This window comes from Homo sapiens, chromosome 7 (genome assembly GCF_000001405.40).
Source record: "Homo sapiens chromosome 7, GRCh38.p14 Primary Assembly".
In the NCBI taxonomy this organism is placed as follows: domain Eukaryota; kingdom Metazoa; phylum Chordata; class Mammalia; order Primates; family Hominidae; genus Homo; species Homo sapiens.
Window position 1 is genome coordinate 4,171,563 of NC_000007.14, and position 14,093 is coordinate 4,185,655.

General features: G+C 55.0%; 1 protein-coding gene across 6 annotated transcripts in view, besides 3 other annotated features; it reads left to right on the top strand.

Annotated features, from left to right (window-relative positions):
• SDK1 (sidekick cell adhesion molecule 1) overlaps positions 1 to 14,093 on the top strand; it is a 967,749-nt gene that overhangs the window by 870,311 nt on the left and 83,345 nt on the right. For 4 of the 6 annotated variants that reach the window (NM_152744.4, XM_047420037.1, XM_024446683.2 and 1 more), the window contains 3 exons: positions 2,660 to 2,795; positions 4,213 to 4,272; positions 6,923 to 7,024. In NM_152744.4, coding sequence (NP_689957.3) covers positions 2,660 to 2,795; positions 4,213 to 4,272; positions 6,923 to 7,024 — 298 coding nt within the window. The remainder of the gene's footprint in view (positions 1 to 2,659; positions 2,796 to 4,212; positions 4,273 to 6,922; positions 7,025 to 14,093) is intronic. The other 2 variants (XM_047420038.1, XM_024446684.2) reach the window with 1 other exon arrangement.
• Positions 2,932 to 3,355: a silencer, noted in NCBI's record as "fragment chr7:4214126-4214549 (GRCh37/hg19 assembly coordinates)". NCBI's record gives its function as "represses an EF-1alpha promoter that drives an FKBP-Casp9 reporter gene in an ReSE screen in K562 erythroleukemia cells {active_cell/tissue: K562}" and the evidence as "EXISTENCE:reporter gene assay evidence [ECO:0000049][PMID:32094911]".
• Positions 9,692 to 10,192: an enhancer, noted in NCBI's record as "H3K4me1 hESC enhancer chr7:4220886-4221386 (GRCh37/hg19 assembly coordinates)". NCBI's record gives its function as "activates a minimal SCP1, AML or CMV promoter by ChIP-STARR-seq in naive H9 embryonic stem cells {active_cell/tissue: H9 hESC(naive)}" and the evidence as "EXISTENCE:reporter gene assay evidence [ECO:0000049][PMID:30033119]".
• Positions 10,193 to 10,693: an enhancer, noted in NCBI's record as "H3K4me1 hESC enhancer chr7:4221387-4221887 (GRCh37/hg19 assembly coordinates)". NCBI's record gives its function as "activates a minimal SCP1, AML or CMV promoter by ChIP-STARR-seq in naive H9 embryonic stem cells {active_cell/tissue: H9 hESC(naive)}" and the evidence as "EXISTENCE:reporter gene assay evidence [ECO:0000049][PMID:30033119]".

Below are 14,093 nucleotides of genomic sequence, written 5' to 3' on the forward strand. Positions count from 1 at the left end.
TGAGCATGCTCCAGCCCCGTGAAGGCGGCCAGCCAGGGCCAGAGTAGAGAGGCTGGAGCAGAGCCGGCACCAAGGTCCCCTCATCCACTGGTGGTGGCCAGTGAAGGGTAAAGAGAGAAAAGGAAAAGCCAGCAGAAAAAAAGTCCCTCCCAGATAATAGCCCAACTCCACCGTCCATTTGAGAATTTGGAGCTAGATGCCGGGCAGTGCCATTTCCCCATCTCTGGTCTGTGGTGGGCAGCGGGAGTCCTCGGACCTGGGGCTGCAAGCCCGCAGGATGGATACGTGACCCTTGTAACTTTCTGCAAAATTGAAGAGGGCTGTGGGGCATTGACAAGCACACCGTGGGGGGAACACAGGGGACTCAGACGCGCCCCCACCCCCAGACGACAGCTCTCTCAGCCCCTGGGTTTGCTCACTGGGGTCCGACACCCCTGGGCCAGGAGCGGAGCTGTGTCCAGGCTGGAGTAGTGTCTAAGGGTGTGGGTTTGCAGGGCCTCTAAGACACGGATCGCAAAGACCCAGCAAGGCCACTCAGTTGTTCCCGTTATGCTTTTCCGCGTCTGAGGGGGGATTATATCCCGTCGTGCTGTTCCTGAATTGGGAGCATCACAGGGGTGTCAGAAAGTCCTCAGAGAGGGACAGCTGCTGGCAGCCCTGCATGGCAGTGGCCTGGGGGCTGCTTGAGCTAATGTGGTAGCAGGCCTCATTTTGGAAAACCTCCTGAGTCTGCCGGGTACACACGGTGCCCCTCTGGCATGTGCGTGTCGCATGCTGCATGCGTGAGTGTTGAACGCGTGAGTGTTGTTCCTCGTTGCTACCACAGTGCAAGCCCCCCTCACTATCCAAGCCATTCTGTCGGAGAGCCTGGGGAGCAAAGAACACCGCTTCCTCCACGTTTGGGTTTTGCCTCGTGAGTAGCAAGAGTCCAAAGAAAAAGCGATTTCTCTAAACATCCAACCCCTCCTGGTGCCTGGGTTCAGATAGTGAGGACCAGAGAGAGTTTGGATTGCAAGGATGTGTTATTTACCGGGGGCAGCAAAACAAGTTACTACGCATTAGGTGGTTGGAAAGGGCAGAGCCTTATTCTCTCACAGCTCTGGGGGCCAAAAGTCCAAACTCAAGGTGTCGGCAGGGTCCTGCTGCCTCTGAGGGCTCCAGGGAGGATCCTTCCTGCCTCTTCCAGCTTCCGGTGGCCGATGACAACTCTTGGCGTTTTTCACTTATGGACGCGTTACTCCAGTCTCTGTCCCTGTCTTCATCGGGTGTTCCCCCTGTGTGTCCTGTGTCCAAACTTCCCTCTTCTCATAATTTCCCTCCACTCATCAAATTAGGACCCTCCCCTAATCCAGTATGACCTTGTCAAAACCAATTGCACGTGCAAAGACCCTGTTTCCAAATAAGGTCAGGTTCACAGGCAACAGGGCTTAGACTTGAGCGTGTCTTTTAGGGGGACACAGTTCAACCCACAGCAAAGGGGCTCTCGTGCAGCAAAGCTGTGGCTCCGCCCAGGGAGCAGGATGGTGCTGCGGTGTGGGTGCCTCACAGTGAGCCCGACACCGGAAGTTCTGTGCACATCCGTCCTCTGACGAGGCTTCGTGGCCTCGTCTTCAGCCATCTTCTGGTCACAGCTTAGAAGGTTCCTGTTCCTTATCCCTCATCTGAGTATCCCAAGAAGAGACCAGATGCTCGGAGGCTCAGCACCCAGATGAGTGCAGAAGTCACTGAGGCTTTCCAGGGCATCCGCCTGGAGTGGGAGGACCCTTCTCAGTCTCAGATTTGTCTCCTGCGTGGAAACATCCTCCCCAAATGTACTTATAAACAGAAACCGACTGAAGGAAAAGGCAAGCCTTGCGCTGGGTCTCGAGTGGTGAACAGCCACATCCTAAAGTGGACAGGTCTTGAGGTCTCATAACCCTGTGTTTAGATTCCAGCAAGACCTGAAACTCCACTTCCTTATCTGCCTGTGCTCCCTATTCCATGGGAGTCTAATGTGTGTCTAATGAGCGCCTAGCCATGGCTTGGTAAGAACTGCAGGGTGAGAGCTGGATGGCAAGGGTGTATTGTTTGCCTGGGGCAGCTGAAGCAGATCACCGGACCGCAAGATGATAGGCCAGGCCAGCCATCATGCGAGGGGCCATGGGGATTCCAGCCTGAGGACTGAGTCCGGCACAGTGGGGTGGCCTGGCATGGGGAGGCATCAGTGAGGGGTACAGTACGGCAGCCACAGCCTGGATGGCCAGGGGAGTGAGGGAGGGTGGGGTCAGCTGGTGGGTGCTTCAGAGCAGGCCGCCTCTCGAGGTTCCACCCTGCTCTGGGCTCACCACACAGCACCCAGCCTCCTCGCCGTCTGTGTCTGTCCCCAGCCTCCTGCCCCAGCCTGGGGGCTCATTTGAGGATTTGAGCTGGACAGGGGTCAAAATGCTGATGTCCCCACACACATGCACATGAAAACTGGGATTCTGAGAGTATCTCCACAGCTTGGTGCTGTGCCCTGGGAGCTGCCTGGGTTCGTCTTGATGAATCTGACACCTGTCGCTGGAACCCACGACTTTCTTCTGTGCAGCTGGCTAGTTAAACAGGGGTGGAGGTGAGCCCTGCTGCAGGCCAGCTGGGTTGACTCCCATGGTGTGGCTGAGTCGGTGTGATGTCTTTGCAGCCTCCGAGGGACGAAAGCCTGAATGGCCTTCTTCAGGGATACAGGATCTACTACAGGGAGCTGGAGTATGAAGCCGGGTCAGGCACTGAGGCCAAGACGCTCAAAAACCCTATAGCTTTACATGCTGAGCTCACAGGTGAGACTGTCCCCTCTGTCCTGGTACAGGGAGGGAGGTTCCCAGGGGACCCTTGGTATCTGCTCAGTGCACATCATGGTGGGAAACGCTGTGGAAGAGGCTGAGAGAAGAGGCAGCCCTGCCCTCAGGAACAGGGAGCAGGCGGGTTTACCCACCAGGGGCACACAGGGTGCAGGTGTGCGGCAGGTGGGTGCAGCTGCGGAGGCAGAGGGGCCTTGTCTACCACAGACTGTGTTAAGGGGAGAGCAGTTGCCAGGCCTCCAGTGACTGCACTCTACCGGCGTCAGTGGGGAAGGGCTTTGGGACCTGAGATGGAGGCAGGGGGCCAGTAGGAACCTGTTGCAAAACCCAAGTCCAGGGACAGGCCCCGCCTGTCTGTACCAGACAGCCTCAGCGTGGAGCCCATGGTGCTCACCCCCGGGCTGATTTTGGCTCTGCCTGCACTGCGCCATGATCGTTGCTCTGACGAGGGCCCAGCTGCCTTCAAGACAGCTTCTAGAACCCTGGAGAGGGACGGCTGCCCTGCCCGTTCCCACCCCTCCTCTGTTGGATGGAGGTTAGAGGGGGTTCATTTCCTGGCACCCACCAAACGGTGTCACAAAAATACTCTTTGCCCCTTGACATCCTCGTGCCGGGGACAGAGTGAAGAAGCAGCTCCAGAACACGCCGTGTGGACGGTGCCCTCCCGCTTTCTGCCATCCCTGTGGCACCAGGGCTGCCTACCTCACGCGCCAATGCCAGCCGCGGGGCCTTCCACGCACCCAGTGCGCGGACGGCAGCAGCTCCTATGCTCCTATGCTCACACAGCTTGACCCCAGTACAGCGCCAGGCATGATGTTGATGAATGTTGAAGACGGGAAATTGCAGCACTGGTGTCTGCACTGTTGGCACACCCCAAAGGTGGCCCTTGCTGACCACCAGACAGTTGGCATCTCCCTGGGCTCTGTCGCAAAATCAAAACAGCACAGTAGAAGGGCCCCGGGATGCGGCTGGGCTTACGCACCTGGTCGCGCAGCTCTCCCTGAGGTGGTTTGCTCGGCTCCTCCAGCCGGGGCTCCCTGCGTGAGCATGAGTCAGCTGCACCTGCCCCGGGGTGACCGGGAGAAAAGGTGTCCTGCCACTCAGTGCTAAGTTGTGCCAAAAACTAGCATGTTTCACTGAATCAGAGTGGTAAGCACACCCCGCCTGTCCGGGACTGGGGTGCCTTGTTGTTTACGAGGAGGTGCGGCAGCCCCCGCAACTGGGAGCTGGTGGAAAGCTTGGGCGGTAGCGGGGTCTTTATTGCCCCGGGAGGCGCAGCGTGGGAAGTGGCTGGCATCCCAGTAAGGCACCTGTCTCCCTTGTTCCTGCCGCACATCACCTGCGATGGCCGTGTCCCTGCGTGCTAACCACCTTTCTGCTTTGCTTACCCCAATAGCCCAAAGCAGCTTCAAGACGGTGAACAGCAGCTCCACATCGACGATGTGTGAACTAACACGTAAGTGCGCTCTCAGCGGGAGGCCCATGCCGCGAGGCGCACACACTGTGCCCAGAGCCAGCTGGTCTCTCAGTGCAAGGGAAAACCAGCCTGGATTAATGGCTCCAGTTCTGGAATCGCCTCTCAAACGCTGCGTCTCCACATACCAAACCACCAGGGAGATAGGAAAAGAAGCTTCTAGAAACAGAGGCTGGGGAAATTTACTAATATCTGGTCTTCAAGTTTGGGACAGAGAGGAAAGCCAGATAGAACAAGATCTCTGATCTCTCCAACTTCCTTCTTCCTTTTTTTTTTTTTAAAGAAACACTCTTTTTTCTTTTCTTTTCTTTACTTTTTTTTTTTTTTAGAGACAGAGTCTCACTCTGTTGCCGAGGCTGGAGTGCAGTGGCACGATCACAGCTCACTGCAGCCTTGAACTCCTGGCTCAAGTGATCCCCCTGCCTCAGCCCCCCAAGTAGCTGGGACTATAGGCTCATGCAACCATGCCTGGCTAATTGTGTTTTGTTGTTGTTTTTTAAGAGACGGGTTCTTGCTATGTTGTACAGGCCGGTCTTGAATGCCTGGACTCAAACGATCCTCTTGTCTCAGCCTCCCAAGATGCTAGGGCTATAGGCGTGAGCCACTGCACCCAGCCTTTCTTTTTTTATTGTGGTAAAATACATATAACAGAAAATGGACCTTCTTAACCATTTTTAGGTGTACAGTTCAGTGGCATTAAGCACATTCACACTGTTATGCAGCCGTCACCATCATTCTCCAGAACTTTCTCATCTTCCCAAACTGAAACTCTGTCCCCATTAAATACTAATTCGTTATACCCCTCCCCACCAGCATCCACATTCAACTTTCTGTCTCGACGGATTTGACGACTCTGGGGACCTCATAGAAGGGGAATCATGTAGTATTTGTCTTTTTGTGGCTGGCTTGTTTCATGAGCTTAACGTCTTCAAGGTCCAAGCACGTGAGAGCAGGCATCAGAATCTGAGTCAAGACTGAATAATATCCCATCGAATGAAAGACCACGTTTTGTTTCTCCACTCAGCCTCCCTTCACCCTTTCAATAAACCACGTTGTTTCTCCTTTGATTCCCAGCTAGGGAGGAGTTTCAAAATCCAACTCAAGGGCTAGACGTGGAGCCATAATGTGATCGACTTCAACACACAGAACTTGGCTGGTTTGGGAAGTGGACCAGGCAGGAGGGAGGGGCTGGCCCTCCCCGAGCCTATGTTGTGTTCAGGCATTCTGTAGGGGTGGGAGTGATTTGCAGGGCAGCACAGCTCCAACATGTTGAGATACTGACTCCATAGCATGGGTGGACCCTGTAAGCATCTCTTTGAAGGCAGCCGTCCAAGGACGGGCGCCTGAGTCACGGAAGCTTTGCTGGGCTGGTAGCTGGCAGGAGGCACAATTTGCAGGCCCAAGCACACCACCATCCACACCAGCACACAGGTGCCAGGCACACACATGGGACCTCGGAAAAGCCAAGCCACCCACAGAGCAGTGTTAACCAGTGGGAGAACCTTCCAGAATGTTTTGGCTTAAAGGTCAATTATTCTCACCCTGTCACTTAGTGCGGAGCTGGTGCTTGGCCCCCTGCCCTAAGGAGTTCTCTGTGTACAGCAGCCCACGCCCGTTCTTTCCCAGGACACGGCCGCTAAGGTCTCAGAGGCCTTTGGTTACCAGCGTCCTTCTACATTCTATTTTCAATGCCACAGTCTTACTCTATCTGTTCATAATTTCAAGGAGAGATTCTGAACCAAAAGGCAGGCCCAGGTTATGTTATGTATTCTAACTCAGGGGTCTCCAACCACTTTGACACCAGGGGTGGGTTTTGTGGGAGACAATTTTTCCATAGACCAGGTGGTAGGGGATGGTTTTGGGAGGATTCAAGTGCATCCCATTTATTGTGTACTTTATTTCCATTATTAGTACATCATAATATAGAATAGAGTGAAATAATTCTACAACTCACCATCACGTAGAATCAGTGGGAGCCCTGAGCTTGTTTTCCTGCAACTAGACGGTCCCATCTTGGGGGGAGGGGAGACAGCGACAGATCATCAGGCATTAGATTCTCATAAGAGTGCAAACCCTATTGGGAACAGCACGTGCAAGAGAGCCAGGTTGTGCAAGGCATAAGGAGCACGCAACCTAGATCCCTCGCACGCGCAGTTCCCAATAGGGTTTGCACTTCTGTGAGAGTCTAAGCTGATCTGACAGGAGGCAGAACTCAGGCAGTAATGCGAGGGATGGGGAGCAACTGTCAATACCAGTGAAGCTTTGCTCACTCACCCGCTACTCACCTCCTGCTTTGCGACCTGGTTCCTAACAGGCTATGGCTAGTGGCCCAGGGGTTGGGGACCCCTGTTCTAAATCCTTTACTTTAGAGGAGGGAGCTCCGTGCTGCCTCTTACCTGAACACAGGATAGGATGGGTACGTCTTTTGCTTAATGGTGGTGGGTGCTTAGTTAATAGGAGAGAAGGAGGGTGCCCCGGTCACAGTGGATGCAGGTATTTCACAGATTTCTAACAATCCCGCCTCCTCTCCTTGGAGGGTGCTCCTTGCTTCATTGTGGTTCATAGGGGGAACTTTGGAGAAAGAGAAGGTGGTCCTGGTGGAAGCTGATCCATATTTCCTTCAACCCTGCAGATTTAAAGAAGTACCGGCGCTATGAAGTAATAATGACCGCCTATAACATCATCGGCGAGAGCCCAGCCAGCGCGCCCGTGGAGGTCTTTGTCGGCGAGGCTGGTAAGCTCCGTGCACCCCCAACCCCACTGCCAGAGAGGGCCACAGTGGTGGGGACAGCCAGGCACGCTGCGGCCAAGCCCCTCAGGTGTCCAGCAGCGTTCTTTCTCCTTGAACACATTGCTGTCGGGGCTGAGGTCTCCACGCCACTGGCAGGGAAAGATGGGCTCAGCTGAGAGCTGGAATTTCCTGACAGCTTCAGTGAATGGTCAAGTCTTGCTTTTGAGACCTAAAGGGTTTGTTCGATACCTGGGGCCATCATATTTACTGTGGCTTTGCTCTACGAAAGTGGTATTAAGTCAGTGGTGATGTAGGTGTGTGGGAAATGGAACCTCGTTATCTGGAGGGGCAGATGTTTGTATCTGCATGGGTCCTTCAGTGGGCTTCGGCAGTGGCCTGGTGACAGCCCATTCTCTAGGTCTGGGAGAGCCATGTGGGCCATTGTCTCCACCCCTTTTAGATAAGATGTGACTGTTGGGTCTGATTCAAGGGACCTTGCCTTCTGTGGGGCTCACAGTGGGAAGCAACGTCTATTTTTAGATCAGATCCTGTCCCTATCCCTCTCCGGGCCCAGCGTGCCGCAGGTAATGAGAGCAACGCCATTCCTTCGGCCAAGGAGACCACAGAACCTCACCCTCCTCGCTGGCTGGTGACTTTAAAGAGTTCCCTGACTTCACATAGAGCCTGATGTTTCTGCTCTTTTCCGCTGGTGCAGATTTAGAAGGGTGTTGTTTCAGGCCCGGAATAATTAGAGTGTCCCTGAGGACAGAGGCTCGGCCTAGCAGGAGCTGCTGCATAGTGGGGAGGGTGAGATGGGGGGGCAGGGGCGGCTCGGACTGCGGGGGCCAGAGGAGGGAAACACATCAGGTGACCTTTTGCAATTGGGAAGGGTTATTGTTATGAACCAATCAATAGCACCAAGGGTCAAGCCCAGCGGATTTTTTCCGGAATGGTCAAGCGGTATTTGCATACAAATGAGGATGCGTGGAGAGAGGCATCAAGAGCATACGGTATTTCTGCCTCTCTTTGCACGAAAATATGTTCAAAGGGGTCACTCAGAGCCACCGAGGTACGGCTCAGCTTTCCCTCAGGGATGGACCTGGCTGTAGAGGAGCCCATTGAGGGCCATGGTGGGGCCACCAAGGGTGCTGTCAGAGAGGGGTGCCAGGGTGCCGTCAGTAAAGGGTGGGTGCCACTGCGGACGGCGGCCATGGCAGATTCTGTGCTCTCCAGTTGTATTCGGGTGACTGGGCCCCAGTTGGCCCCCATGGCTGGGGGTGGGTCAGCCTGTGGCATCGGGGGAGCACAGGAAAGGAGGGCCGGGAACTACAGTGTCTGAACTGCAAGCAGAAGGTGTGGGTGTCAGAGCTCTGCCTGAGGGTCTGCCTGCGCCTGGGCATAGGACACCAGGAACCAGGGGGCTCAGGGCACTTGGGCAGGCCCTGAGACCGAGGCAGACGTCCAGAGAAAAGAGCTTCAGCAAGCGGTAGGGAAGCCAGGGGTGGTGCGGGAAACTGGGGAGTCGCGCCAGGGCCAGCCAAGCGGCAACAGGACTGGATGCCCAGCAAACAGCTCCAGCTCTATGCCCAGCGCCCAGCTCCAGCTCTATGCCCAGCGCCCGGCTCCAGCTCTATGCCCAGCGCCCAGCTCCAGCTCTATGCCCAGTGCCCGGCTCCAGCTCTATGCCCAGTACCCGGCTCTAGCTCTATGCCCTGTGCCTGGCTCCAGCTCTATGCCCAGTGCCCGGCTCCAGCTCTATGCCCAGCACCCGGCTCCAGCTCTATGCCCAGCGCCTGGCTCCAGCTCTATGCCCAGCGCCTGGCTCCAGCTCTATGCCCAGCGCCCAGCTCCAGCTCTATGCCCAGCACCCGGCTCCAGCTCTATGCCCTGTGCCTGGCTCCAGCTCTATGCCCAGTGCCTGGCTCCAGCTCTATGTCCAGCACCCGGCTCCAGCTCTATGCCCAGCGCCCAGCTCCAGTTCTAGGGTCTGCGCTGTTGGTGTCTTAGTTCCTTCTCACACTGCTGTAAAGGGACGGGGTAATTTATAAGAAAAGACGTTTACTTGGCTCACAATTCTGCAGGCTGCGCAGGAAGCATGGTGGTCTCTGCTTCTGGGGCGGCCTCAGGAAGCTTCCAATCATGGTGGAAGGCGAAGGGGGAGCAGGCATCCCACACGGCACAAACAGGAGCAAGAGAGCGCAAGAGGGAGGTGCCACACATTTAATGACCAGATCTCATGAGAACTAAGCCATTCATGAGAAACCCACCCCCACATCCCCATCCCCTCCCGCCAGGCCCCACCTGCACGTTGGGGATTATAGCTCAACATGAGACTTGGGCAGGGACACATCCAGGCCATATAAGTCTGTCATCGTGGTAAGATGCGTATAACATGGAAAGCATTCTCCGTGTGCAGTTCAGCGGCATTCAGGATGGTGAGCAGCCATCACCAACATCCATCGCTGGAGCTGTCTCTTCTTCCCAAACAGAAATCCCATACCTATGAAGCAGGCCCCCTTTTCCCTCTTTTCCCATCCTGGGCAGCCTCTCACTTACTCTCTGTCACTGCAAGTTCACCTCTCGATACTTGGTACAAATGGAGTCGTGCAGTGCTTGTCTTCCTGTGTCCAGATCCTTGCCCTCGGCGTGAGGTTTTTGAGGTTCAACCGGGTTGTAGCAGATGTCGGAATTGCCTTCCTTTTCATGGCTGAGTAATATCCCATTGCATGCATTTACCGCATCTGGTGTGTCTGCTCCTCCAGGGATGGACACTCGGGGGCCTTCCCCCTTTTAGACTTGTGAGTGTGCTGCTGTGAGTGTGGGAGAGCGAAGAGCTTTTCAGCAGTGCAGAGCTGAGACAGCCCAGGTGTGGGGAGGCAGTTGCAGAGGCTACAGGTGAGCCCGGCCTCTGAGGTTAGCATCACGGTGTGATGTGGCTTCTCCCTTCCCCACTGGGCCCCCATCTCCCTCCCCTCCCAACATGTGCATCCCTGCTCCAGCCCTCCTTTCCAGAGGCCTGCCCTCCTGCCCCACTCCTCCTCAACACACCCACACCCTCCACGTGACTCACCTCTGCCCAGAGGCCTGGGCTCTGCCACCTGCACCCTTTGCAGTCCCACAGAAGGGAAAGGAAAGCCTACTTGCTGTGCCCATGCCACCAAGGCCTTTTCCATGCACACACACAAACTCCACGTGGCCACACTGCACTGCTCACAGAGCTCGAAGGCGGGTGCTGAGAGTCAGCAGAGCCGGTTCCCACAGCATCACACCCACCCAGAGTGCCCTGTGCAGCCCCTCCAGTTTAACTTGGCTGAGGCCTGAAGCACCCTTTATGCATCTTTTTTTTCTTTTTTTGAGACAGCGTCTTGCTCTGTCACCCAGGCTGGAGTGCAATGGCATGATCTCAGCTCACTGCAATCTCCATCTCCCAGGTTCAAGCAATTCTCCTGCCTCAGCCTCCTGAGTAGCTGGGATTACAGGCGCCCGCCACCACGCCCAGCTAATTTTTTGTACTTTTAGTAGAGACGGGGTTTCACCGTGTTAGCCAGGATGGTCTCAATCTCCTGACCTCACAGTCTGCTCACCTTGGCCTCCCAAAGTGCCATTTAGGCTTTTATCCCCTGAGGAGCGGCTGCCACTGCCCCAGGACACCCTCTCTGTCCCCCTCCCTCTAGGCGGGGCTCAGATTTCCCCTCTGTGCGGTATCCTGGGTGCTTTGTGCACAGCTCTGCCTTCCCCCCAGCAGCGGGGCTGCCTTCTCTCTAATGCTGCTCCTCCCCATTAGACCAAGGCTGCTTCATCCCAAACAGCTCCTTGCCCCAGGGGTATTGCCAGAGGGGATCAGAATACCTTTGTCATTCGGGCAAATTGAGGTTCCCAAACTTCCACAGGGCAGGAGAGCAGCTGGGGAAACCCTGCACCCAGGGACGTGTCCTGGAGACAGGGCCTCCCAGATATGCTGAGATGAAGGCAGGTGGAATCAGTGTCTCATAGCAGGGCTGCAGGGAAGGCTAATCAGAAGCTCCTCATCCTGAGGGAGAGGAGGGAGAAGGAACCTATGGTCTCTGTCCCTGTAACAGCAGATAACACAGTCACCATCTGCCGCCCAGGCACTCATGTTCTAAGCTGGTCTTTCCATGGGGCTCCTTCCTGAGGCTCCTGGCAGTAGGGAGGGAGAGGCAGAGCTGGTGAGGGTGCACAGGCTGGCAGAGGCTGTGAGGCCACTTTAGGGCCCTGGCAGATGGGGAGCAGTGCCAGGAGCCGGGGTTCACACAAGGGAATGTAACCGCCCAGCAGGCTCCTCCTGCCTGCAGCACAGACAAAACCAGTTCACTGAGCCCATGGTATTGCAGTCAAAACAGAGTTTAATTAGAGCCCAGCCACATGGGGGAACTGGAGTTATCACTGGTCAGTCTCCCTGAGGGCTCAGAGGTTAGTTTTTTCCAGGATAGTTTGGTGGGCGTGGGGGCTAGGGAGTGGGTGCTGCTGATTGGCTGGGGATGCCATCACGGGGCGTGGAAAACGGTCCTCATGTGCTGAGTCCACCTCTGAGCGGGGCCACAGGACCCCCTAAGCCGTGAGTCGTGAGTCATGAGTCCAGATGGGGTCAGTCCATTTTCAGAATGCAAAAGTCTGAAAAGCATCTCAAAAGATCAATTGTAGTTTCTATAATAGTGATGTTATCTTTAGAAGCAACTGGGAAAGTCACTAATTTTGTGACCTCTGGTCACATGCCTCCTGAGCAGTGAGGGATTACTTACCCAGCTTACAGGCTGGGTGCGGTGGTTCATGCCTGTCATCCCAGCACTTTGGGAGGCTGAGGTGGGTGGATCGCGAAGTCAGGAGTTCAAGACCAGCCTGGCCAACATGGTGAAACCCCATCTCTACTAAAAATACAAAAAATTAGCTGGGCATGGTGGTGCATGCCTGTAACCCCAGCTACTCGGGAGGCGGAGGCAGGAGAATCGCTTGAACCGGAACCCGGGAGGCAGAGGTTGCAGTAAGCCAAAATCGCACCACTGCACTCCAGCCTGGGCTACAGAGCAAGACTCCGTCTCAAAAAAAAAAAAAAAAAAAGAAAGTATGCTTATATTTTAGCCGAGTTCAGGCTTCTCCCATACTCCTAATCTCTCAGCCTTTTATTAGCTTTACAAAGGCAGTTTCCACCCCCAAACGAGGAGGGGGATTGGCTTTAGGGAAGGACCATTATCAGCCTTGCTCTAAGTTAAACTAAAAAGTAAATTCCTAGACACGGCCCCTGCATCCAGGTCTCTGCTCCACCCCACCCATCAGATGTGGCTTGGCTCTTGCACACCCAAAACAACTCACACATCTCCTGTGCCAGGCCTGGCAGTGCCAACCCTGCAAGTGGACATCTCAGTTGTTTGGCCTCAGCACACTCCTCCGGGTTCTGTGTTTACACTGCAGAGAGTTTTCTGGAAGGAGAAAGCCAGTTCGCCATTCCCTTTCTAGCCTCTGCTTCTCGCAGCCCAAGTACCTGCATTGTAACAACCCTAATCTGCTGAGGAGAGGCACTGCTAACGTATTGACTTAGAGCAAGTAGGCCTTCAGAAGAGGAAATTAAATTGGGCCAGCTTCCGTCCCCTCGGCTGGAAGCTTCAGAGCACCACAAACTCGTGGGCCCGAAATGCTCAAAGGCTTTTATGAAAACTAAGACTTTGCTGTGGTCCCATAGGTAAGCGTGCAGGTCCAAGCGTCGGCTCTACTGTTTACTGCCTGTGTGACCACGGGCAAGTCACTTAACCCCTCTGAGTCTGGCCTTGAGACCTTGTGCTGCTGTGGGGAGACCTGTGAGTGAGGAGACTCAGGTACTGGCTTCATTGCTGCCACTAAGGCACCAGTCCTGCTCATAAGATGAGTGTCCAGAATGTACCTGGCCCGGGGTCAGCCCCCAGTCAGTATTTGGTGAATGAGGGGGACCCTGGGTGAGTGAGTCGGTTTGTCTGGCCTCATCTGTAAAATGATGAAATGTTCAGAATAGATGATCTCTGGGTCCCCTGAAGTTCAAATACGTGATACTTAAATCTGTTTAAACTCAGAGAGGAAGGATAATTTTTAGATTTTTAGCTGAGATTGATGCACAAGCCCAGGCACTACAAATTGGTAAAAATAATCCATCGGTAAGGACTCCAGTGTGCAGGAGGTAGGACCCAACGCCAACAAGCTTAAGCTGAAAGAATCATTATTAACTCCTGCACTGGAAGAGTTGCAGAGCCTGGGACAGCTTCAGGCATGGCTGGATCCAGCGCCCCAGCAAGCTGCTCCATGTGGCCTCTTGGATCCACTTTCCTCCTAGTTGGCTCCTTCCTTGGTCAGGCTCTTCATCAAGGTGGCCATACAGCCCTGGGCACAGAGAGCTTCCCTTTTCTGCAGTGGAAGTCCACTGGCTGTCTTCAGCCTGCCTTTAGTTGCATATCTGTCCCCAAACTAGTTGCTGCAGCCAACGTCCTGAGGTGCCCAAAGCCAGGGAGATGTCATCTCTACCTGGACCACCTGGGCCAACTGTGAAGCGAGAGGGTCCCTAGAGGAGATCCAGTGCGACAGTCAGAAGAAGGGGACTCGGGCATTCACCACCACAGCTGTCCTGCAGTGCTGATAGGCAGAGTTTGACTAGGTGGCCAGAAATTTTTCTGGTGGAGGTATGGACAGTGTCTATGGGTTCCTCAGCAGGAGAGCTCTTCAGATGACCCAGCCAGAGTTCTGGGCCCAGCTCCACATTCCACAGCGTTCCGGGCACTGTGGGACCACGCTCCAGCCTTCAAGACACTCACTATTCATGGATGGGCCCTGGTCTCAGGTTAAGCCTGCACTCCTGCCCAGACCCCAAGCAGGCATCTCAGCCCCTGCCTGTATTTCCAGAGCCCCCAGGCTTCCCCCTCCTTGAGTATGTGCCCCCTCATCCATACCAAGCTGTTTCCGCCTGGGATGACTGCTCCCTACTCCCGTCCCTGGGAGGACAGACAGTCCTCCCTCCCATGCAGCCCTGCATCCACGCGAGCCCTTGGATGGGGCAGCTGTCTTCTCTTTCCCGGGCAGGATTAGCTGTTTCTTC